The sequence below is a fragment of the Homo sapiens genome, chromosome 10, assembly GCF_000001405.40.
Source record: "Homo sapiens chromosome 10, GRCh38.p14 Primary Assembly".
Classification (NCBI taxonomy): Eukaryota; Metazoa; Chordata; class Mammalia; order Primates; family Hominidae; genus Homo; species Homo sapiens.
In genome coordinates, this window is record NC_000010.11 from 16,178,227 (window position 1) to 16,204,860 (window position 26,634).

The 26,634-nt window shown below is 38.9% G+C and overlaps 3 annotated features.

Annotated features, from left to right (window-relative positions):
* Positions 8,159-8,847: an enhancer, noted in NCBI's record as "OCT4-NANOG hESC enhancer chr10:16228384-16229072 (GRCh37/hg19 assembly coordinates)". NCBI's record gives its function as "activates a minimal SCP1, AML or CMV promoter by ChIP-STARR-seq in naive H9 embryonic stem cells {active_cell/tissue: H9 hESC(naive)}" and the evidence as "EXISTENCE:reporter gene assay evidence [ECO:0000049][PMID:30033119]".
* Positions 17,240-17,801: an enhancer, noted in NCBI's record as "OCT4-NANOG hESC enhancer chr10:16237465-16238026 (GRCh37/hg19 assembly coordinates)". NCBI's record gives its function as "activates a minimal SCP1, AML or CMV promoter by ChIP-STARR-seq in primed H9 embryonic stem cells {active_cell/tissue: H9 hESC(primed)}" and the evidence as "EXISTENCE:reporter gene assay evidence [ECO:0000049][PMID:30033119]".
* Positions 17,802-18,361: an enhancer, noted in NCBI's record as "OCT4-NANOG-H3K27ac hESC enhancer chr10:16238027-16238586 (GRCh37/hg19 assembly coordinates)". NCBI's record gives its function as "activates a minimal SCP1, AML or CMV promoter by ChIP-STARR-seq in primed H9 embryonic stem cells {active_cell/tissue: H9 hESC(primed)}" and the evidence as "EXISTENCE:reporter gene assay evidence [ECO:0000049][PMID:30033119]".

Below are 26,634 nucleotides of genomic sequence, written 5' to 3' on the forward strand. Positions count from 1 at the left end.
TTAGAATTAACCATCACAATAGTTTTTAAAATTCACCTATACAGCTTCTTTTGAAGGTCCTCGTTTCTCAAAATGCCTTACCCAAGCTTCTCTTCTGAGCCTTAGATGGTGTATTCTATGCCTTCATCTATAACCTCTTGCCTGAGCTATCTGTTTTACCTGCAGTACCTGTTGCTTTTTTCACCTGAGCTCCAAATTAGCTAAAAAACTTAAGTGCCTTGCCTCATTGATTCAGGTATTCCCCAGAGAGGTTAGAACATACATACACCAAAGTTTGTAAATAATGTTTGCTATTCTTTTTCCTGTCCAAGGGAAGGAGCTGGTAACTGGACTGCTAGCTACATCAAGACAAGCAGCACTGCCATGCCAGGGAGAGAATGGGGCCGGGGTGAGTTAAAACTCTACAAAACAAGCTTACTATTTTGAAGATGGTTTCTTCTTGGTTGGGTGTTCTCTTGGTTGCTGTAAACTTTTGATGTTTTCCAAAACTCCAACAAAGTTGTTTTTGCTATTTACTACTTGATTTTTAGTGTTTCTGTGGTAGAATACGAGCTTGAAACATCATAGTTCATCATTCTGCTATTATCGCAAGCTCCTATGTCCTTTTAATAAACTCCAATTATCACCGATAGCATTGTTTTATTTTTGCAGGTGTTAATCTCATCTTGAGCATTTTCTCCTTCAGACCTGGTAGCAGTGATTTCTATAATAAGCTGTGGTTCTTTTCAGTGGGAAATGGTATTTAGAGAATAAAATCTGATTCCTAGAGGGTGCTCATTTTACTGAGTTGTTATTGATTCTAGGGCATTTTTAGTGGACAGAGATAAAAAATGTGTAATTTTACAGCAATAAATACAGATCAGAAGTCTATACTGATATTTCCATTTCAAAAATTTGATTACAGATTTCTAATGTAACTTTCTATAATATTATTATTGTATCTGTATTCTCTTCAACTTAGTATTTTGGTTCCAAAAATATGAACAAATTTCCTGCTTATTTTATCCTACAATAACTTCAAAAGAGAACAAAAATGATGCATTTTAAAGTCATTGGAGGTTATTATAGCAATTTTATAAACATCTAGTCCATTCCTTTTAGTTTATTTTCACTTTATAGAAATTGTTTCTCTTCTTTTATAAAAATTGTATTGAATTTTGTGAAATGTCTTTTAAAATCTATGGAGATATTTATATTTTTCTCTTTAAATCAATACTATAAATTATATAAATATATTTTCTAATAATGAGCTGTTCTTGTAGTCCTGGAATGAACTACAATATTCTTTTATTACACTGTGAATTGTTTTTGCTAATGTTTTATTTAATCCTTTATATCAGCATTTTTAAGTGAAAGTGATCTGTAAAGTTTTTTTAAATGCAATCTGTCATGTTTCATATTAATATTAGCCTCATAAAAAGACTTGGGAATTTTCCCCTTTTTCTAAGAACCAATGATTTAACATGTAAATTATCTATATTTGTTTATTCTTCTTCAGAATCACCCTACCGTCTTTATGTCTTACCTCCATTTTCTCCCATCTTTGAAAGTTAATTACTTTTCATATTAATTGCCTTCTCATTTTCTCTTGCATTCTGAAAGTCTTTTCAATCTAGTCTCTATATCACTTATATATTTTTAAATTCTCTGCAGTTTCTGTTTCTATGCTTCCTAGCTTCTATTACGTTTACCTCCTCCTCTGCCTTTCTATCCTCTTCATATTTTTTCTTACCTCTTTCTTTGTGTCTCTTTTGAGAAAACTCATTTTTTATTGTGTTCTAAGGCATTATCATTTTAGCTTTGATTAACTGTATCACAAAATCAAGTTTTCTTACATTTTATTAAGAACTCAGAGCAGATTCACTTTTAAAATTAATTATTTTCTTGTGGTTAATCATTTCTCCATTTATAACCATCCTATGGATCTTTGTTTTTATTTTTTATGTTGCAGCATGTTTTCATGAGCTCTATAATGATTTTTATTTATCCACCCTTAGAAGAGGAAAAGTGTTTCCAGCCTAGGGATTTGCCTACAAGCAGGGTTAATTGTTTTTCTTGTTCCCCCTTACTATCTACCAAGATTTTAGTTTGGAGGATTTTTTTAAATGATAAACTGTCATTGTGTTTGTGACACAACATTTTGAGGCAGGTGGATAGGAAGCTGGAGCCCTGGATATCCATAAAACGTTATTTGGTAAACAGAAAGCTAAACAAAATGTATATACACTTACAAAAGAGTTAATTTGAACAGAAACCACAACTTACAATGAATAAATTGTATAAGCACAGCCTGTTCTACCAGCCTCATCTAGTGTCCCAGGTGATTGATGACTTGCTTGTAGTAATATTTGTTAGGCTTTCCCACTGTAATGTTACCCACACATGCTATCATCTGTCGGGGAAAGTCACTCTGCCCATCCCACATTTGAGGAGTGACAAGTCAAGCTGCCTCTCCTTGAGGACCACTGTCTACATGTATTATTTGGAATTATTTCACATGAGAGATTTGTCTCACCATCCTCATTTATTTATGGATGTAATCATTAATTTACATCAGTGTGGATTCATGGATATTTATTTTATACTTTGGGTTATAAACTAATACTACTATATCTTTTTGGAATTTTTTGTTTCTTTTTGCTCAAATTATTCCAGCTTTGGCTATTGGGTGCTCTTTCAGTTGGCTGCTGTGTTTCTTTGATATGCCCCCATTATTGTGGATTTTTTTCTTTTTAGTATTTTCTTACTTTCTTATACTGTAAGATTCTCCAGGCTCATCTTGTACACTTCCTACCCCAATCCCAGAACAAGTTATTTCTTCAAGGAGCTATAGTTTCTTTTATTGGACAATGGCATTAGAAACAAAGATCTTGGCCAGGCATGGTGGCTACCACCTGTACCCAGCACTTTGGGAGGCCAAGATGGGCAGACTGCTTGAGCCCAGATGTTCAAGACAAGCCTGGGCAACATGGCAAGAACCCGAGCTCTAAATAAAAATTAATTTTTTAGAAAATTTCAAGCATGGTGGCACATACCTGTGGTCCCAGCTACTCGGGAGGCTGAGGTAGGAGGATTTTTGAGCCCAGGAGGCAGAGGCTGCAGTGAGCCATGTTCATGCCACTGCACTCCAGCCTGGGTGACAGAGCAAGACCCTGTCACAAAAAAAAAAAAGAAAGAAAGAAAGAAAGGAAGGAAGGAAAGAAAGAAAGAAAGAAAGAAAGAAAGAAAGAAAGAAAGAAAGAAAGAAAGAAAGAAAGAAAGAAGGAAGGAAGGAAAAGAAACAGAAACTAAGATCTTAAGATCTGCATATTAGGGTGTGCTTGTTACAGCTGAGACCTCAGCTGACAGAACAAGGAAATATATGTGTATAGTCTGACCTGTCTAGACACAAATATCTATAAATATTCTTATACATAATAATTTATATCTATATTAAGCTAAACGTGAGTTCACATTGATGCCTTCAACTCTAATCAATTATCACATGGATCATTCTAGCTTCCTACCCGAGCTTATGTGTAAATTTCCACTCCTGAGGTGTCTTTTTGATACATCACTTATTCCAGGTTTATAAAAGAGCCATTTCTGGCCTCTTTCCTGATGCTGCTGCCTGCCATGAATCTATAGGAAACCACGACAGTCTACTTGTACAGTCACTGCTCAAATCCTGAGCCCTTTGGTACAGATGATTTCAATGAAAACTGATAATTAGTTTGGAGTGAATTCTGTGTGATCTATTTCCAGGCTCTCCAGTGGCCCACCCTTGTCTTTAGTCCCCAGAGTATGCTGACAGTAATCTCCTATTAGAAAGTACTCTGCTGATTTCTGAAATCCTGTTCTAATTTCTCAGGAAAAATTGTCTCTTGGGATCTATCTGAAACCTTTGTTTGCTGGGTTAGACACTAGCGATTGTGTTACGATCATAACCAAATGATACCTATTTCACGTGTCATTAGACTTAAAGAAGAATGGAGTCGGGCTATTTTCTTTGTCTACAAGTGTCCAGAAACACTTTTCCTCTGGTATGGGCTACAATAATGGAACAGGAATAGGAGAAGAGCCTTCTCTGTAATGATCGAGCTTGAAATAAGCCTAAATGAAAGGCAAACACGTGCTACTGAAATATTAGCTCATTGACCTTGGAAGTGGAAATAACAAGGTTGGACACATGCCCAGATTTATTCTGAGAAGCTACATTCAAATTTCAATGCAGTTCCTATTTAATAAAGAGAAAAACGCATGTGGGAAAAAAACATCATCCCTCCATTTTAATGTATATTATTAGTTGGAGTTTCAGCTCTTTTTCCTTTGCCTCTCTGCCAGCTAATCACAGTAGCTACTGGTTTCCTACTTCCTAAATTACATTTCTCTTTTTCTCGGCATATGATTACCTTTGCCAGATTTCCCTCATGCTTCTCTCATGTAGTTTATCTTGACATCAACTATGTCTCGTTGTCTGGTCTTTCTGATGAACAATGCCTTTGCTCTACTTCCTCAGAGTTAATTCTACTTTTAAAGCAAGAACTCCTCTTGCATCCCCAAGATGTAAGTGAGTAAGTGCTTGCCACCCTGCCACCTTGCTTAGTTTGGAAAGATATTATGCTCCCTAATCTTCTGCTTTGTTGCAACATACCATGTGGCTTTTGCTAATGTTGAAAGTAACAATGTGTTTTTAATCTAATTTACTAATGTGGAACAGCTTTCTTCTGAATCACAGTGGTGTAACCATTGACAACCGGGGCTTTGGCTCACATTGGGTGTGAGTGCGTAGGATCAGAAAATAAAATTTTCCAGTATCTCGCTCTCCCAATTTAATCCTCATCAATCTTAGTGAATTAATTAGCAAGTAGTAAAGTGATGCTATAGCAGTAAATGTTTATGAACAATTATGTGGTCTCTTTGAACACTTTTTATCCAAAAAGACACACCATTAGGTTCAACCAGGATTTTGTTGTTGCTCTCACCTTTTATATTGAATTATTTTAAACTTTGTGCACACAGAACAAGTGGTAGTTCAAACCTTTCTTCTTCAAGTCCTCGATAACACTCTGTTATTACTCCTTATTCATCTGACACTCTTTTTCCTTTTCCCTCTAGATCTATGTTCTTATGCTACATTTCAAGGGAGAGTTGCTTAATATTATTTCCAAAGTAAATAACCTTCTATCTTCACTGTTTCTGTTATGGGCTCTTTTCTCTGGCATCTATAGCATTTCTCGCTCCTCTTTTCTGCTTTGAAATAAGCTCAAACCTCTCTCAGTTTGAGGCGGGAAAGCATGACCATTTTGAACTTTCCTGCTTATTCTTATTCTCCTTGTGTTCAAAGACAGTTTCTTACAACACAGTTTTCTATTCCTCTCTATTCATTCTCTTTTTAGTATCCTGAAATACGACTTACCACCTCATCACTAGGCTGATAATATTCTTGCATAGGTCACCAATGGCCTTATCAAGAGAATAAAGAAAACAAAGATATTTGCTTAATATATGTTTACATAGACACAAATATATTGATAACAAAATAGGAAAGAACTATAATTATAGTCTTCATCTCTGTAACTGATCATACAGTTGTAGTTGGTATGTATAATTACATTTTTCTACTACCCATTCCATATTTCCTTTGCCTTCAGCAAACACCTCAGCCCTCAGCTTGTCATGGTTCTTTGCCCCTGGAATGACCCAACAACTTTATTCCTGAAGGGTCTGGGCCATTAGTAGGATACCTGGGTTGGGCTGGCGTAGCTTTCCATTCACCTCAACCATAGGGGACAGTAATTCTAAGGGATGTCCTAAGGGATCTTGTGTCTCCTAGGCATATTCTTCCTTACTTCTGTTGTGGAAGAGCAGTCCAATTTCCCCCTTGGAATTCCAAATTAATCACCCCAGCCAACACTGTCACTCCCTTTTTAGCCTGTTGACTCAGAGACACGAGGAGTCCAAAGCAGCCTACTGGCAGTCTTAACTTCCAGTCCCATGAAATCAGTATTCCGTCACCTGTTGAAAACATTCCTTGCTCTAGATTTAACACCTCTAGGTCAGCAGAGCATAAAGTTGTGGGAACAGGAAGCAAAAATTGCTAATGAGCCACTAGGGGTAACAATGAGTGGTGCCATTGCCATTTCTCCCCCGTGATTCCTGGACCCATGAATCCTGGACCCATGAATCCTGGCTAACAGAGAAACATATCTAAGATACTGACTCAGAGCATCTTTCTGCACAATCTTGCCCCAGCCTGAAAAATATTGCCATGTAGCTGGCACTGCAAATGAGTCTTCAAAAAGCCATTCCACTGTTCTAGCAGACCAGCTGTTTCAAGACAGTACAGAACATAACATAGCAAGGCCAGCAAATTCCATGAGCATGAGCCCATTGCTGCGTTTTTTTCTGTTGTTGTTGTTTTTTTTTTTTTTTTTTTTTCCTATAAAGTGAGTTTCTTCTTAAGAAATAATGCTGTATATAAAAACATGACGGTGGATAAGACATTTTGTAAGTCCACAGATGGTAGTTTTGTCAGAATTATTGCATACAGAGAAGGCAAATTTATATCCAGAGTAAATATCTGTTTCAGTAAGGACAAAACACTGCCCCTTTCATGGTGGCAGTGATCCAATACAATCAACCCACCCCCAGGTTAGCTGGATGATCACCTTGGGCAATTGTGCCACATTGGGAGGTCTCAGTGTTGATCTCTGCTGTTGGCAGATTTGACCCCTCAGCAGTGGCCAAAGCCAAGTCAGTTTTGATGAGTGAAAGTCTATGTTGCTGAGCCCTTACATAACCTCTGTCCCTGCAACCATGGCCCTTTGGATCATGACAGACGTGGCTGGGGAAAGAAGCAGGAGGTATCCATAAAATAGGTCATCTTATTGACTTGATTGTTAAAATCCTTCTCTGGTGAGGTCATCCTCTGGTAAGCATTCATGTGGGACACAAATATCCATGTTTTTTGCCCATTCAGAGAGTTCTAGCCACATACCTCTTCCCTAGACTTCTCTGCCACTTATTGTTCCATCGTGTTTCTTTCCTAAACATCTAGCCAAACCATTGACTACTGAGCATGAGTTGGTATATAATTGCTCATCCAGCCATTTCCAGCCATTTCCAAGCAAAGTGCACAACCGGATGCACCACCCAAAGTTCTGCCCACAGGGAGGATTTCTCTTCACCACTGTCCCTCAAGGATGCCCCAGAGAAGGGCTCTACAGCCCTCTGCAGCTGTCCACTTCTGGGTAGTGCCTACATATTGTGCAGAACCATCTGTAAACTAGGCTACAAACTTCTCTTTCTTTGTCAACTGGTCATAGGGAACTCCCCATGCATTCACAGGCTGCGAGAGAGAAGGCAGTGTAGCAGGAGTGGGAACCATAGACATTTGGGCCACTTCTTCATGCAACTTACTTGTGCTTTTGGGACCTGCTCAGACCTGACCATTTATATGTCACTTCCACTTGAAGACATGCTGCTGTGCATGCCCAACCTTATGACTTGTTGGGTCAGATAACGTACAGTTCAGGTCTCATGATTCTTTGGTGGCCCATGATCAAGCAGTCAGTGTTTGGCCTTCACCACAATAGCCCTCACTCCACAGGTCATGGAAACAATGTAAGGATTGAAGAGTATGTTTATCCCAAGTATACATTCTGGAATTGGTGAGTGAAATAACCACAGGATGGGTTTAGAGACCCTCTAGACCCACTGTAGGACATGCCTGAGCTTAAAATCCATTGATTACCTGACCTCTATAAGCCCCTACTCTGATTGGAGGGTCAGATGATGATTTGGGTCTCCTGAAACTAGTCAGTTAAGGCTTCGTAGCAAGCCAAGAGCTGTCTCTTGAAAGTATTTTTAAATCTGCAGATGATGTCAGGGCCTCACTTCCAAATCCTAAAAGTCTGTGCTGCATTTCACCCACAGGTGCCAGCCAAAGGCACCAAACAGCATCCCTACCTATGACTGATACTTTAAGCCCCATCATATCTGTGGGGTCACGTGGCCCAAGTGGCAGAGCAGCTGGCATAGCAGCATGGACCTGTTGCAGAACTTTCTCTCGTTCTGGGCCCCACTCAAAACTAGCAGCTGTTTGGGTCACTTGGTAAACGGGCTGGAGCAACAGAGCCAAATGAGGAATATGATGCCTCTGAAAACCAGTGAGGCTCAATAGGCATTGTGTCTCTTTCTTGGTTGTAGGAGGGACCAGATGCAACAACTTATCTTTCACCTTAGAAGGAATATCTCACATGTGCCACACCACTGGACCCATACAAATTTCACTTATGTAAAAGGTCACTACATTTTAATTCAGTTTATTTGCCACCCTTTAGCATGCAAATATCTTACCAATAAGTCTAGAGTAGTTGCTACTTCTTACTCACTAGGTCCAATCAGCATAATGTCATCAATGTAATGCGCCAGTGTGATATCCATCTGAAGAGAAAGGCAGTCAAGATTCCTGCGAACTGGTCTTCAACCTGTTTCCTGGTATACAAATTCTAAAATCCTTAGGCTCTCTAAAGTGATGTCTTTTGTATGCTAATGAGTTGACTGATGGCTGGCAGCCCCTAGGCAGCTTCAGGATAGGGGCTGGTTACTGGAAAAAGCAAGGCATGATTACAGGATTGGGACTTTCAGCCCAACCTCTGGCTGGGAAAGAGAGTCTGAAGGTTAAGCTGATCATCAATGGCCATTGAGTTAATCAGTCATGCCTACCTAATGTAGCCTCCGTAAAACCCCAAAGGGACAGGTTCAGAGAGCTTCCAAATAGATGAGCATGAGGAGGTTCCTGGAGAATACCACTCCTGCCTGGGAGGGTATGGAAGCACCACGCCCCTTTCCATACCTTGTCCTATGCATCTCTTCATCTGTGACCTTTGTAATATCCTTTCTAATAAACCAGTAAGTGTTTTAGAAAACACCTCTGTGAACTAAATTATTACATAGAGATGAAGAATTGATATACCCTTGAGGTAGGACAGTGAAGGTGTATTGCTGACCCTGCCAGTTGAGAGCAAATGGCTTCTGGAGGACTTTATGGAAAGGTATAGGAAAAAAAGGCATTTTTCAGATCAATATCTGTGTACCACATACCAGGGAATGCATTCATTTGTTCAAGCAATGAAAGCACGTCTGCTTCAGCGGCTGCAATTGGAGTCATAACTTGTTCAAGCTTAGAATAATCCACTATCATTCTCCAAGTTCCATCTGTCTTCTGCACAGGCCAAATGGGAGAGTTGAATGGGGATGTGGTGGGAGTCACCAACCCTGCACCTTTCAAGTTTTTGATGGTGGCACTAATCTCTTGATTTGCATTGGACCTAACACCTCTAGGCCAGCAGAGCATAAAGTTGTGGGAACAGAAAGTAAAAAATTTGCTAGAAGGTCACTAGGAATAACAGTGAGTGGTGTCACTCCTATTTCCACCTTTTGATTCCTGGACCCATGAAACCCGGCTATCAGAAAAAAACATACCATATATAGGATGCCAATTCAGAATATCCTTCTGGACAATCTTACCCAAGCCCTGCAAGGTACTGCCATGTAGCTAGCACTGTAATTGAATCATGGGCCACCAAAGAATCATGTGATCTGAATTGTATGTTATCTGACCCAACAAGTCATAAATTTGGCCACGTACATCAGTACTCCTTCATCAAATGGAAGTGGTATGTAAGTAATAAGGCCTGAGCAGGTCTTGAAGGCACAAGTAAGTTGCATGAAGAAGTAGCTCAAATGCCTATGGTCCCCACTCTTGCTACCCTGCCTTCTCTCTCCCAGCCTGCACCTATGGCTGCATGAGGAGTTTCCTGCCAGTAGACAAAAGAAGAGAAGACCAGAACCTGCTTTACAGATGGTTCTACACTCCCTCCAGGAATGCTATAACGTTTTTGATTTACTATTTTCCTGAGGAGGCAGTTCCAGTGGCTTTTACTTGGCCTTCACCACAATAATAGCCCTCAATCCAAAGGTCATGGAAACAATGTAAGGATTGCGGAATATGTCTATCCCAAGTATACATTCTGGAATTGGTGAAATAACCACAGGATGGGTTGGAGACCCTCTAGCTCTACTGTGGGGCAGACCTGAGCTTACAATCCATTCATTACCTGACCTCTATAAGCCCCAATTCTGACTGGAGGGTCAAATGATGATTTGGATCTCCTGGAACTAGTCAGTTTGTAGCCAGTGCCTAGTAGTCCTGAAAATGTCTCATTATTTTCTTTGCCTAAATGCAGTCCCTGGCAAAAATAGGTAAATTTGGGGAAAAGTGGGAAAAAGATGAATAGTATGTACATTTATCAGTAGTATATCAGAGACTTTCCTCAAGGGCACCTTTCCTTCTCTTCATTCAAGTGATTCTGTGTCTGTAAACTGGCTCAAGTCTGAGAATTCATTAAGGGGCTATGACTCTCTGTTTTTATGATTCAAGTTATACTTTTGCCCACCTGACCTAGAACTTTTCTGCTTATACAGATTATGTAAGAATTTAGTAGGCTTGGTATCTGTTGTGGTTAATACTGATTGTCAACTTGATTGCACTGAAGGATGCAAAATATTGCTCCTGGGTGTGTCTGTGAGGGTGTTGCCGAAGGAGATTAACATTTGAGTCAGTGGACTGGGAGAGGCAGACTCACCCTCAGTTTGGGTGGGTACCATCTAATTAGCTGCCAGCATGGCCAGAATAAAAACAGGCAGAAGAATGAGGAAAGACTAGACTGGTTCAGTCTTCTGGCCTCTATCTTTCTCCTGTGCTGGATGCTTCCTGCCCTCAAACATTGGACCCCAGGTTCTTCAGGTTTGGGACTCAGACTGGCTTTCTTGATCCTCAGCTTGCAGATGGCCTACTGTGAGACCTCACCTTGTGATTGTGTGAGTCAGTACTCCTTAATAAACTCATATATATATATATATATATATATATACACACACACACACACACACACACACACACACACATACATCTATCCTATTAGCTCTGTCCCTCTAGAGAACCCTGACTAATACAATATCTATTTCATTTCTAGGAACACTGTGATTAACTGCTCAACACCATAGGTCTGACCAAGTCAGACTATTCTGATTACTACTTTCGCCCTGCTGTCCATTATTAATGACACTGACCTTGCTCCTGGCAGTTCAGTGCTACTATTTATTCTCTGGCATCCCAAGGTCCAATCACTTTCATTGCATTTAAGTTTTCTAATTGAGTAGCTGAGGTTGAGACAGGCAGGTTGGTTGATTCCCTATTTTAAGATGGTCTGGAGGAAAAGGATAAAAGCCCCTCACTGAAACTCTAGCTTATCTCTCAGACAGTCACTAACAAGAGACCCAAGAGACTATTAACCACAAGCTTCTATTTCAGAGGGCTAGGGATTTCCCCAGAGCTCTGCATGCACAGCTAGACTTAAACTCCAACCTAAAGTTACCTCTTCATCATTTTAATGCCTCCTCATTTTCATGCCCAGGGTAGCGATTTAAAATGCTAATGTTACATACAATGTATGAAGAAGCATGTTGACCACCATGCAAGTGTTAGAAAAGCTCCTCCTGTACATGTACCTGCTGATGTAAGCTTTCCCTATGGAAAGACCTTATAAAACTAACTCACATACTGTCCTTGGGGAACAGTTCACTTGTTTTTCCTTTCTCAGGGCTAGCTCCCTTGTGCACAAGGTGGAATAAACTTAAACTTAATGTTTGCTGCTTGTGTTCAGTGATCTCTTTTGATTTCTATCCTGGGAGAGTGCAAGAACCTGGGGTTACCACTGAAATGTCTGACCTACAGAGAACAGCAATCATGGAACTCTTCAAGGATACTAGGGCTCCCCTCACAAATTTATTTCTGAAAGTATTGGTAAATGGTATGCCTTCTAGACCCTGCCCATGTGGGTGGTAAGTAGGTCTTCAATGATAAATCCAATTTAACATTCCGGTGTCTCTAAGCCTTTGAATCTCTTCCTCCATATTAAATCAAGGGAGATCCAACGTTTTTAATTCGCTCATACTGGGCCATCTTTTGATCCATGTTTCAGCAATAAACCAAACAAACTGAAAGAGCCCTTTCTAACTCCCTGAACTGGAACATTAAATGCAGAATCTCTTCTTAGTGAGTCCATATCAATAAATTCAGCCCAATTCAACTTTATGTTCCTTCCACCATTACCCTATACCCTTAATATCTATTCTATGTATGTCCCCCAGATTTTTGCTTGTGTGAATTAGAAAATTCAAGTAGTTAAGCTGAGCGCGGTGGCTCACGCCTGTAATCCCAACACTGTGGGAGGCTGAGAAGGGTGGATCACGAGGTTCAGGAGTTCAAAACCAGCCTGGCTGACATGGAGAAACCCCATCTGTACTCAAAATACAAAAATTAGCCAGATGTGGTAGTGTGCACCTGTAAACCCAGTTTCTCAGGAAGCTGAGGCAGGAGAATGGCTTGAACCTGGGAGGTGGAGGTTGGTGAGCTGAGATTGCACCACTGCACCCCAGCCCGCGCAACAAAGCGAGACTCCATCTCAAAAAAAAAAAAAAGATAAAGAAAATTCAAGAATTCAAGTAGTTCTTTTGGCATGTAGTACATCTCCGCATAAGTCATATTTTGTACCTTATCTTTAGGGGTCTGCTGAGACTTGAGTCTTGTTACAAGTCTAGAAGAAAAGAGCGGTAGCAGGGTGGATACTGAGGATAATCAGCATTATCTTACGTGGCAGCTGCCTCAGGGGAGGCCATTACCCTTTTCCTCAGTATTAGTACTCTCAGATGGTGGCGGAAAAGCTGATACCACTGTGGTAGCGGGGACCCAATTCCACCTGGGGTAGGGCAGCCACTTCCATTGGTGTGGGGAGACTGCTTTCAATGTCAAAGAAGATTCATCATAATTCAGGGGCTTAGTGTCCCCAGCTGCGTCAGGGTATTTCCACAGGCCCCCATCCCAACTTACATTTTTTCCCCAATAAGTTGCCCTCACTTTAACAGCAGTCACCCTGTAGAGCTGGGACTTCATCTCGCATTAAAATTCAGCCAATTGCAGGACGAAGTTCTTAATTTTCAGCAATTTCCACCCTGTGGCTACAAGTGATAATGCCCTCCTTCAGAGGACACTTAGAAACTCTTAGGTCATTTATGGGTCTCTTTCTCTCACTCTCTCTTTTTTTTTTTTTTTTTTTTGACACAGACTCTTGCTGTGTCACCTAGGCTGGAGTGCTATGGTGCAATTTCGGCTCACTAAAACCTCCACCTCCCAGGTTCAAGCAATTCTTATGCCTCAGGCTTCCGAGTGACTGGGGCTACAGGCATGTACCATCAAACCCGATTAATTTTTGTATTTTTAGTAGAGACGGGGTTTTGCCACGTTGCCCAGGTTCATTTATGAGTCTCTTGAGCTGGGAATTCAAATCCTTGAGTTCATTCATTTATTTCAACACTTTTTCCAATAACATTAGAAACAACCATCTGACATCATTATGTTCCTTAGTATTCAAAAAATGTCCAAAAGTATCAATCATATACAGAGTCACCAAACTCCTTGCTTCTTGTAAGTAGTTAATTATGAGTATCCAGTGCAGATAATATGCATGTCTCTATAAACAGATGATGGCTTAGACGATCAGTGCTCTCTTTACCACTGGAAATAGCATCACTATTGCCTTTAAATCTAATCAGATGTGAAAGCCAATTCCAGAAACCCTAGATCTAATTAAGAAAGTCATTATTAAAATTTGATTGCTCTATAAACACTCTCAGTACCAAAATCTGTATTAGTTAGGTTTCTCCAAAGAAACAGAACCTATGTAGAGATCTATAGATAGGTATCTATGTGCACACACACACACACACACATATATATATATACACAGACATACAGTCACCAACTTATGATGGTTTCACTTACGATTTTTCAACTTACTGATGGTATAAAAGTGGTATATTTTAATAAAATATTCAATATATTACATGAGATATTTAACAGATTGTTATAAAATAGGCTTTGTGTTAGATGCTTTGCCCAACTATAGGCTAATATAAATGTTCTGAGAATGTTTAAGGTAGGCTATGATGGTAGGTAGGTTAGGTGTATTAAATGCATTTTCACATTTCCACAATAAACATGACTTACGGGGCTATAACCCTTAAGTAGAGGAGAATCCAGGGGTATGGGTTTATTATGGTAATTGGCTCAGATGATTATGGAAGCCAACAGGTCCCACACTCTGCAATCTGCAACCTTGGAGAACCAGGAAGGCTGGTAGTGTTACTCAGTTTGAGTCTGAAGGCCTTAAACTGGGGCAGGGCTGATAGTGTTAAGTCCATGTCTGAGTCAGAAGGCCTGAGAACGAGGTGCTCCAATCTCCCAGGGCAGGAGAAGACGAATGACCCAATTTAAACAGAATGATTCACCCTTCCTCCACCGTTTGTTCTATTTGGGCTCTCAATGGACTGGACGATGTCCACACATATTGGTGAAGTTGTTCTTCTTTACTCAGTCTACTGATTCTAATGCTAATCTCTTCCAGAAAAGCTCTCACAAACATACCCATACATAATGTTTTACCAGCTATCTGGGCATCTTTTAGCCCAGTCAAGCTGACAAATAGAATTAGCCATTCCTTAGGTAGATGTAGATGTAGGTGTTTGTGTATTCTCATAATTTGCATATAGCATTTTTCACTTGCTTCAAGTAATAGCCTTTCTTCAGTAAAGCAAAAATAAAATTCTAATCCCCAAAACAGACTGAATGGATCCCACTCTCAGCCAAGGGAATTCCACAATAAACATGAAAAACTAGTTTAGGCTATGATGGGAAGGGGGCTGGGTATTGGACATGCCTCATTATACTCTCCTCTCTTTGGAATTCCATCACAGCTACCCAGCATTAACACTGAAACAGAGATCTTATGAGTGACAAAACAAGCTCTTTGTAGTAATAAGATACCAAATTCTAATCTGACTCCAGTATAGTATCACATCAAAGATAGCAGATACTGAAAAAAAATCAAAGTATTTTACCCCAAAATATATGTCTCTGACATATTTTGAAGTGGTCCTGCAAAGCTGTCTCTTGTGGGGAAAATCTACTTTCTGTAGAGAACACCCTTCCCTTTCCAGGTCTTTTCCGGATCCAAGAGAGATTTAACTAAGAGTCTGGCACCTTTACCATGTAATCTCTCTAAAGCCTGCTACTTAGGGTTTCATCTGCATAACAACCATGGTTTCCACAACCCCTTATCTTAACTTAGACATTCCTTTCTGTTGATTCCAGGTCTTTAGATAATAACCTAATCCTTTCAACCACATCAGAAAATCTTGGTAACTACCTATGACCTGGAACCCTCCGCTTCGAGTTGCCCTGCCTTTCCATACTGAACAAATGTGTACCTTACAAGTAGTGATTGATGCTGGCCTGTAACTTCTGTTTCCCAAAAATGTATAAAATCAAGCTGTAGGCAGGGCACAGTGGCTCAGGCCTGTAATCCCAGCACTTTGGGAAGCCAGGGTGGCCAGATTACTTAAGGTCAAGAGTTCGAGACAAGACTGGCCAACATGGTGAAATCCTGTCTCTACTAAAAATACAAAAATAGCCAGGTGTGGTGGTGCATGCCTGTAATCCCATTTACTTGGGAGGCTGAGGCAGGAGAACCACTTGAACCTGGGAGGCAGAGGTTGCAGTGAGCCAAGATTGCACCACTGCACTCCAGCCTGGGCAACAAGAGTAAAACTCCATCTCAAAAAAAAAAATAAAAATTAATCTGTAAACCAACCACTTTGGGGACATGTTCTCAAGACCTCCTGGGGCTGCGTCACTGGCTACCCATATTTGCCTCAGAATAAACCTCTCTAAATATTTTACAGGTTTTGACTCTTTTCATCAACATTTCTCTATCGTATCATAGTCTGTTTTCTTCTTAGAGGGAGCTAGTCTTCTTTGTTTCTTATTGTACATTTTAAGGAAAAAGATAGGAGAATTAATACGGCTCAACAGAAGTCACATTTAAATCTACACATATGTTCCAAGAGGAAAAAACATTCTGGAAATAAAACTGGAATCATCTTTCAGCATAAGGCACAATTCTTTCTATTGCTTTGGTTTCTTCTTCAGCAAGATGGAACGTTAGGTATCCTCTTATCTTCTGAACCTCCCAAACCCTGTCCCTCATCAAAACTTACCCGTCCTTTGACCCATCTCTAAGACTCCAACCGACCTAGTAATATAATAACCATAAGATATTAATAGCTGGTGATGATTTCATATTTTATTCTATTCAAACTTTATTTTCCATCTGAATAAGACATATCAATGTCTTAACTAGTGAATTGAGTAATATCACTGTTTGGGTAACTGGGAAAGATATTTGGGCACAAAGGCCAATAATTCCCTTTCAGTCACTCCCACATACTCTTAATATCTATTTTATCAATGTCAGTGACCTTCTCAAATAACCATCTTTTGGTCTCCTTGATTTTTCTGTGTCATCTTTCTCTTTTATATTAATACTTACATTGTTCTTTAAATACAGGTGGACTCTTCTACCTACATTTAAGTGAGACCTTGCATTTGAAATTCAATATTTGCTTAAATTACTCTGTTCTTCAATCCTGTTTCAGTCTAGAGTTCATACTCGCACCAAGAAATACCTACCAGGCCACCATCTGATATGAAACACAAATAGAAATATGACTGTGATTGTATGGATAAAACTGCATCTAAGCAAACAAGTTTTCCAGGCTTGAAGTGCCTTTTAGTCTACTTTACTCACCTTTAGCTCTAACCTTATCTCACCTTTCAGACAGCCAACAGGAATTCAAATTACAGCAAGGTCTTTTTGGGGTCAAGTTGTCCATCATTTCAAATTTAACTGCAGGTCTCTTTCCCTTAAAGGTGAAGGAACAAAAAACGTCAATTTCAGGCTGTTGCTCACCAGCTTTTTGAAAACAAACATTAATTACATAACTATTATGTGTCAAGCACTATCTAATAATATCCATTATTTCCTCCAGTGTTCACAACTTTGGTGGGGAAAGATTGAGTCATCAGGACCAACTTTCAATTGTCTAGGCACTTTGTGATGTCTGAGTAAGTTAAAAGAAAAAGACCAGTGTGCCTGGAAATAACTTAGGAGGTTTTATTTTCTTTGAATAGCTGAAGAACCACATAGGAAGTTGTCAATGCAGATTTTAATAACTTACATAGACCACAAAAACCCCTTCCTGTAGCACAGCATTACTCAGACCTTTTTTCCACTTTTAGTCCCTTGTGTAGACAACATCATAACCACCCATAGCATTTGACAGGAGCTGGAGGGATTACCCTGGAAGAGACAGGCCAAATCACCTGTCACTGCTCTATTTGTCTGCTACTGAAAAGCTGCTGAGTCCTCTCCTTGTGATGTCTTAACATCTTGTGACACTCGGCTTTACAAGACATTTTGCATTTGTCTTGTTTCCCAAAGCCATCCTCACTTGGGACAAATATCCAGAAACACAAGGTCCTACTTATCAAATACATGAAAGGTGAAGAGTATTTTAAGACTGGGGGCCAAAGGCCCTTGGCCGCCTAAAGGTTTGCTAAAAATCAGTGGCATAGGCAGATTGATTAACAGGAGAAAAGGCATACAAATGTTCTCAACATGTATACATGGGAGCCTTCATAATGAAGAACCAATTTCCCAATGAGTTCCAGAAATTTATATACCATTTAGAGGTTACAGAAAGAATGAGGACTTAGATTCTGGTAAAATAGGTTATGGGAAGGGGAGAAGAGGCTTGATTAGCAAAGGTGGCATTGTTACGTAGATGAAACCTCCAACAGAGACAATGGATGGTAAACGTTTCTTTTTAAACTTTTAAAGGCATCAGACTCTCAATCTCTCCTGGATATGGAGAAAGGCTCAGAAAGGTGAGGGGGCATGGCTGCATTAATGGAGACTCTCTACAGATGCAAATTTTCTCCACTTAAGAGTGCTTTGTAAGGCCAGTTCTGTCAGGTGGCTAAGAGAAAGCCATTTCAAAGTATATCAAAGAAATATATTTTGGGGTAAAATATTTTAATTTCCTCCAAGACTATATAAAAGTAGAAGTTACTAAAAGGTTTTTATTGAATGGATAAAGAAACACAGTGGAATATATCATCATTCAAACTGGAAAGGAAGAAATATGAAATGTGCCTAAACCTGGAAAAGCAAAGATTCTAAACCTCCCTTGGTTAAATAAGGAGCATAGAAAACACCCTCAGTTCTGATGCAGGTCTTTAACATCTACCTCAACTGCTTACACTATGACTATAAATGCTTATTATAATGATAAAAGTCCACACAACTTACTTCTAAATAGCAAGTGGAATTTTGACCTAAAGATTGAATGCTCCATTTCTAGATAAGGGCTCTCACTCAGGGGTCACTTCCTTTCAGACTGAGTTTCTTTCTAGGAACAGAGTCAGACCATAAAATATTTAAAGAGGTTTATTCCAAGTTAAATATGACAGACCAAGGCCCGAGACACAGGCTCAAGAGGTAGATCCTGAGAACATGCACCCAAGGTGGTTGGGTTACAACTTGGTTTTGTCAGATACACTAAGTTCCTCTTCAAAGGTTTAATTTTTGACCTCTTTGTTCTTTGTTCTTGAGATCAACTTCCTAGTCCCTTCTCCTAAGCTACCTGCTCCATAAACAACTTCTCCCGACAGTCCCAATCTGTAACTCATATCTCTTCCTTATTTGGAAGAAGTCCTCTTTGCTCCTGGCTACCCATTCTGTAAACTGCCTCTCCTGCCGAAACAGCTCTTCCTGCCAAAACTACCCTTCTGGCTTTGCTGTGCCCTGACATGCCCAAACATGCCTTGTACCATAACGGACAGCCTCTCCCTTCCCGCCTAATTAGCCATATTCAATTTTAATGGTAGCCAATTGTGTCACTTTGGATTGTGCAGTACAGCTCCAGCCAATGGGGACACAGAAGCAGGGAATAACTGCACTGGGGATAAAAACCCCTTCCCTCCTTTGTTCAGTGTCATCTCGCAGTGGCCAGAAGTGCAAGCAGCAGCCTTCCGAAGAAGTAAATTTGCCTTGTTGAGAAATCCTTTGAGTGCTTGTTTCCCGTGTGACTCCAAGCTCTTGTTTCTAACAGTTTCTTTATGTTTTGGGGAGACATAAGACATCAATCATGTTGGCCAGGCTGGTCTTGAACTCCTGGTCTCAAACAATCTGCCCGCCTGGGCCTCCCAAAATGCTGGGATTATTGGCGTGAGCCACCAAGTCCAGCCATGCATACTTTTTTTAATAAATGAACACTTTTCCTCTATTCTAAGTGCAAACATTAGAATTGTTGCCTGAAATTTTGTTGCCTTCTCTAGTAAGCACCACTGTATTCTTGACATGGTTTCATTTAAAATTCTCATTTGGCGTAATAAAAAAGAAATTTGACCAGAGGATTTTGAGCTTTTCTTGTACTTCTGTAACATTTTTGAAAAATGATTTGTTCTTCAGCTTAAGCCATAAGTTTTAAATGGGTGAGAGCATTTCCATCCATTTTTATTTATATTGCACTCTTTTACTGGACAGGATTAAAATGACAACCTCTGGCTCTTTTTTCTCTTTTGGAGATTTTTGAACTGTTCTGTTTGAATGAAACAGTTAAAGTCTAGTGGCCTTTCTATTTTGTCTAGGGCCTGCTCAGAGTTGATAAACATTTCCAGATCTGAGCAGGAGAGGTAAGTTTTATCTATTCAGTGTTGCAGTCAAAAAAGTTTATAAATAGCAGGTTCTTTATTGTTGGAATTCATGAAAATGCCACAGAGTGAACCCCAAAATTGGGGCTCAGCCTGGGAGACCATAGGGGTTCTTGGGTTCCAGTAGGAAAGAACTCAAGAACGAGCTGACAGAGTAAAGTGAAAGCAAGCTTATTAAAAAGGAAAGGAAAGGCTGGGCACAGTGGCTCATGCCTGTAATCCCAGCACTTTGAGAGGCTGAGGCAGGTGGGTCACCTGAGGTCAGGAGTTCGAGACCAGCCTGGCCAACATGATGAGACCCCATCTCTACTAAAAAAAAAAATATATATATATATATATATTATATGTATATAAAAATTAGCTGGGCATGGTTGTGGGCACCTGTAGTCCCAGCTACTCAGGAGGCTGAGGGAGGAGAATCACTTGAACCCAGGAGGCAGAGGTTGTGAGGGAAGAGAGAGACCCTCTCATTTTGTTTTATATTGTTTTATACTCAGTACCTGTTTTAAGAAAAAAGAAATAACAAGGAAGTGAAATCAAAGACAGGCAGCCCGGCAGCAGGCCCAAAACCGGACCTGGGCCTGCCTGGCCTAAACCTAGTAGTTAAAAATCAACTCATGACTTAGAAACCAATGTTATTCATAGATTCCAGACATTGTATAGAAGAACATCGTGAAACTCCCTGCCCTGTTCTCTTTCTCTCTGACCACTGGGCATGCAGCCCCTGTCACGTACCCCTTGCTTGCTCAAATTAATCACGACCCTTTCATGTGAAATCTTCAGTGTTGTGAGCCCTTAAAAGGACAGAAGTTGTGCATTCGGGGAGCTCGGATTTTAAGGCAGTAGCTTGTGGATGCTCCCAGCGGAATAAAGCCCTTCCTTCTACAACTTGGTGTCTGAGAGGTTTTGTCTGTGGCTCGTCCTGCTACAGTTGCAGTGAGCCAAGATCATGCCATTGCACTCCAGCCTGGGCGACAAGAGTGAAACTTCATCTTAAAGAAATATATATATATATATAAAATTAGCCAGGCATGGTGCTGGGCACCTGCAATCCCAGCTACTCAGGAGGCTGAGGTGGGCAGGAGAATTCCTTGAACCTGGGAGGCAGAGGTTGTAGTGAGCTGTGATCATGCCATTGCACTCCATCCTGGGCAACAAGAGCGAAACTCCATCTTAAAACAAACAAACAAACAAACAAAACAGAACAAAAAGTAAAGGAATAAAAGGGTGGCTACCCCACAGGCAAAGTAGCAGTGTGGCTGCTTGGCTGACCATACTTATGGTTATTTCTTGATTATGTGCTAAGCAAGGGATGGATCATTCAGGAGTTTTCTGGGAAAGGGGCAGGGAATTCCGGGAACTGAGGGTCCCTTTCTCTTTCAGACCATATAGGGTAACTTATGAATGTTGCCATGGCATTTGTAAACTGTCATGGCACTGGTATGAGTTTCCTTTAGTATACTAATGTATTATAATTAGCGTATAATGAAGAGCGAGGGTAACCAGATGGTACTTTTGTCACCATCTTGGTTTTGGCAGGTTTTGGCTGGCTTTTTTTTTTTTTTTTCTATTTAATCAGCGGGGTCTTTGTGACCTGTGTCCTGAGAAACAACTCCTGCTGAATTCCTATTTCAAACATATTATTTCTGTTCAATTATAAAAAAATAATTTTTCAACTGGAGAATGCTGTTTATAGTTTGTATTGTTAAAACAATATATAAGCACAATGTTGGGAATTGACATTTCCAACATTGTGTTATATATTTGATGATATCATCAAAGATCCACATGCAACTGACTGTTTTCTTAGGCTCTAGAAGACAGAAATCTGGGATATTTCATTGAACTATATTGTTTTATCAAATTTTGATACACTTGATTAAAACAATGTATGTTTACACATTATTGAGGGGTTAATAGGATTATAGTTCTTGCCAGGCTTCTGTCTTGACTGGGTAGGTAAACAAGACTGTGGTTTTTCTATGTCTCCAATAACAAGAGTTTATTGAATATTTACTAAAAGATATTACAGGAGAATATTATGAATCTCCCAGGGTCCCAGAGTGTCATATGCACTTTTACATCCCCAGCTCCTGGCACAGGGCCTGACACAAAGTAGTACTTAGTGCTTTTCTTTTAAATTGCTTTGGACTAATTGAAGAAACAAAGAAGGCTTCTTCTCTCACAGTGTTTACAATCTTACTGTATGTAAATATGTACAAAACAAAGAGCTTGAGAACAATTAAAAGAAAAAGGAGGCTGGGCATGGTGGCTCATGCCTGTAGTCCCAGCACTTTGGGAGGCTGAGGTGGGCAGATCATGAGGTCAAGAGATCGAGACCATCCTGGCCAACATGGTTAAACTCCATCTCTAAAAATACAAAAATTAGCTGGGCGTGGTGGCATATGCCTGTAGTCCCAGCTATGCGGGAGGCTGAGGCAGGAGAATCACTTGAACCTGGGAGGCGGAGGTTGCAGTGAGCTGAGATCACACCATTGCACTCCAGACTGGTGACAGAGTGAGACTCCATCTCAAAAAAAAAAAAAAAAAAAAAAAGAAGAAGGAAAAGGATATTATAAGTGAAGGAGATGGAAAATTCAAAGTATGAAAGAAGAGGTTGAGAAAATCTTTTGAGGAAACTACAAATACATTGCATGATTTCCTCACAAGGGTAGGGCCAAGTTGGTGAATGAGAGAATGTTGAGAAGAAAACCAGGATCTGATGGTGGCACCTGACAATGACTAAGAGGCTCAGACTAGTAACACAGAACATAAACCTTCCTTCAGCTTTTTCTTCTATGTAACACAAAGTAGCTGACATCAACTATCCTTCTGTGCATCAAGGTAAGTCTTACTACTAAAACTAAAACTCTAGAAATACATCTCTAAGTGGTGTGTGAACAGAAGTAGACTGGAGGGTCAAGACTATACCAAACATTAAAAAACTTTCAAGAAACCAAATATGTTATTGCTTTTCAGTAAATAAATGTATTTGAATTACCAACAATGAACATAATGAAGGGAGGAGGTAGCATTTACTATTCACCTGTAAAGAAGCCTTTTAAAAACCAAGAGTTTGTAGCTTATTACCTCTTAAAGTGGATGTGTTGTTTTGCTTTTGCAAATAACGGCATAGTAACCAAATATTCGGGTTATCAAATACCAGTGGCATTGAGTATTTCTTAAGAAAGTTGAGTAAATAAAGGGAGACAAGAAGGCTAGACATTAAATACCTTGTTATACTGAGGATTTCCAAAAGAACAGAAATAAAAGTGTTAGCATCATAAACAATATACATAAAGCAATCTATATACCCAGAAAATATGCAAGATAACTCTGTGAGACATCCCTTATAATTACTTGCAATTACTTCACTTGTTAAAAAGAAAGGTATTTATTTAGATAAGGAAATTCATACAAATAGTACAAAATTTTAAAGGTCCTGTCTCCCTAAACTTCCAGTAGACTAGTACCACCATCTCCTTCCCCAGTTCTTGTAAATATTTTCAGAAATACTCTATGCATACTGAAACACATTTATGTGTGTATACATATACATATATATACACACAAATACATATGCATTATACATATGCTTTTAATGTTTTGAGTTTTTTTAAAGTTATGAAATATTATAAATATTCAGAAATTACGTAATATACTAGATAGCCTACGCTGACCCAGATTTTTAAAAGCTTAATATTTTTATATTTATTTCAAATATAAGTTTTTTAAGAAATAAAATGCTGGAGATACAGTTGAGTCCACCAAGAATCCTATTTTCTTTCCCTTCCTTGAGGTTAACATTATCTTGAAATTGATGTATATACATACCATCCAAGTTCTTACATTTTTTGTTTTTAAAATGTTTGTGGGTACATAGTAGGTGTATATATTTATGAGGTGCATGAGATATTTGATACAGGCATGCAGTAAGTAATAATCACATCATGGGAAATGGGGTGTCCAGTCCCTCAAGCATTTATACTTTGTGTTACAAACAATCCAATTATATTCTTTTAGTAATTTTAAAATGTACAATTAAATTATTATTGATGATAGTCACCCCTGTTGTGCTATCAAATACTAGGTCTTATTGATTCTTTCTAACTATATATTTTTTGATACCCAGTACCCATCTCCACCTTCCCTTGACCACCTACTATCCTTCCAAACCTCTGGTAACTATCCTTCTACTCTCTATCTCCATGAGTTCATTTTTTTTTTTTTTTGACACCCACAAGTAAGTGAGAACATGAGAAGTTTGTCTTTCTGTGCCTCGCTTATTTCACTTAACATAATGACCTTCAGTTCCATCCATGTTGTTGCAGATGACAGGATCTCATTCTTTTTTAAGGCTGTGTAGTATCCCATTGTGTATATGTACCATTTTCTTTATGCAATCATCTGTTTGATGGACATTTAGGTTGCTTCCAAATCTTGGTTATTGTGAAGAGTGCTGCAACAAACATGGGAGTGACAATATCTCTTTGATATCCTGATTTCATTTCTTTTGGGTATATACTCAGCAGTGGGATTGCTGGATTGTATGGTAGCTCTCTTTTTAGTCTTTTAAGGAACCTCCAAACTGTCCTCCATAGTGGTTGTACTAATTTACATTCCCACCAACAGTGTACAAGGATTCCCTTCTATCCATATCCTCACCAACCTTTGTTATTGCTTATTTTTGGATATAAGCCATTTGAACTGGGGTGAGATGATACTGTAGTTTTGATTTGCAATCCTCTGATGATCAGTGATGTTGAATACTTTTTCATATGGCTGTTTGCCATTTGTATGTTTTCTTTTGAGAATGCTATTCAATTCTTTTGCCCATTTTTTGATCAGATTATTAGATTTTTTTCTATATAGTCATTTGAGCTCCTTATATATTCTGGTTATTAATCCCCTGTCAGATGGACAGTTTGCAAATATTTTTTCTCATCCTGTGGGTTGTCTCTTCAATTTGTGGTTTCCTTCACTGTGCTGAAGCTTTTTAACTTGCTGTGATCCCATTTGTCCATTTTTGCTTTGGTTTCCTGTGCTTGTGCGCTATTAAGAAATTTTTGTTCAGACCAATATCCTAGAGATTTTCCCCAACCTTTTCTTGTAGTCGTTTCATAGTTTGAGGTCTTAGATTTAAGTCTTTAATCCATTTGATATGATTTTTGTATAATGTGAGAGATAGGGGTCAAGTTTCATAGTTTCATTCTTCTGCATGTGGATATCCAGTTTTCCCAGTATTATTTATTAAAGAAGGTATACTTTCTCCAATGTATGTTCTTGGCACCTTCGTCAAAAATGAGTTCACTGCAGGTGTATGGATTTATTTCTGGGTTCCCTATTCTGTTCCATTTATCTATGTGTCTGTTTGTATGCCAGTACAATGCTGTTTGGATTAGTATACCTCTGTAACATAATTTGAAGTCTGGTAATATGATTCCCCCAGTTTTTTTTCTTTTTTCTCAGGATAGCTTTGGCTACTCTGGGTCTTTTGTGGTTCCGTACACGTTTTAGGATTGTTTTTCTATTTCTGTGAAGAATGTCATTGGTATTTTGATAGGAATCACATTGAATCTGTAGATTGCTTTGGGTACTATGGACATTTTAACAATATTGATTCTTCCAATCCATGAACATGGAATACCTTTCTATTTTGTGTCTTCAATTTCTTTCATCAGTGTTTTTAGTTTTCACTATACAGATCTTACACTTACTTGGTGAATTCTTAGGTATTCAATTTCATTTGTGGTTACTGTAAATTAGATTACATTTTTTATTTCTTTTTCAGGTTGTTCATTGTTGGCATATAGAATTGGTACTGATTTTTATATGTGGATTTTGTATCCTGTAACTTTATCGAATTTATCAGTTCTAATAGTGTTTTGGTGGAGTCTTCAGGTTTTTCCAAATATAAAATCATATTATCTGCAAATAAGGATAATTTGACTTCTTACTTTCCAATTTGGATGCTCTTTATTTCTATTTTCTGGTTGCTTTAGCTAGCACTTTGAGAACTATGTTGAATAACAGTGGTAAAAGTGGACACATCTTTGTTGCATTCCAGATCTTAGAGGAAAGGTTTTCAGCTTTTCCTCATTCAGTATGATACTAACTGTAGGTCTGTCATATATGGTTTTTATTATGTTGATGTGTGTTCCTTCTATACCAACTCTTTTGAGGGTTTTTATCATGAAGAATGTTGAATTTTGTCAAATGCTTTTCAGCATGAATTAAAATGATCATGTGGTTTTTGTGCTTTATTCTGTTGATGTGATGTATCACATTAATTGATTTATGTATTTTGAACCATCTTTGCATCCCTGGGATAAATCCCACTTGGTCATGATGAATGATCTTGTTAATGTTTTATTGAATTTGATTTGCTAGTATTTTGTGAAGGATTTTTTCATCAATATTCATCAGAGTTATAGGCTTGTGGTTTTCTTTTTTGATGTGTCTTTGTCTAGTTGTAGTATGAAGGTAATACTCACCTCAAAGAATGAGTTTTGAAGTGGTCCCTTCTCTTCTATTTTTCAGAATAGTTTCAGTAGGATTGGTATTAGTTCTTTAAATGTTTGGTAGAATTCAGTAGTGAAGCCGTCAGGTCCTGCGCTTTTCTTTACTGGGAGACATTTTATTACAGTTTCAATTTCAGTACTTGTTATTGGTCTGTTCAGGTTTTGGATTTCTTCATGATTCAATCTTGGTAGGTTGCATGTATCTAGGAATTTATCCTTTTCCTCTCGATTTTCCAATTTGTTGGCATACACTTGTTCATAGTAGCCACTAATGATTCTTTCAATTTTTGTGGTACCAGTTGTAATGTCTGCTTTTTCACCTGTGATTTTATTTGGGTCTTTTTTTCTTAGTTTGGGTAATGTTGTCTTCAAAAAACCAACTTCTGTTTTATTGAT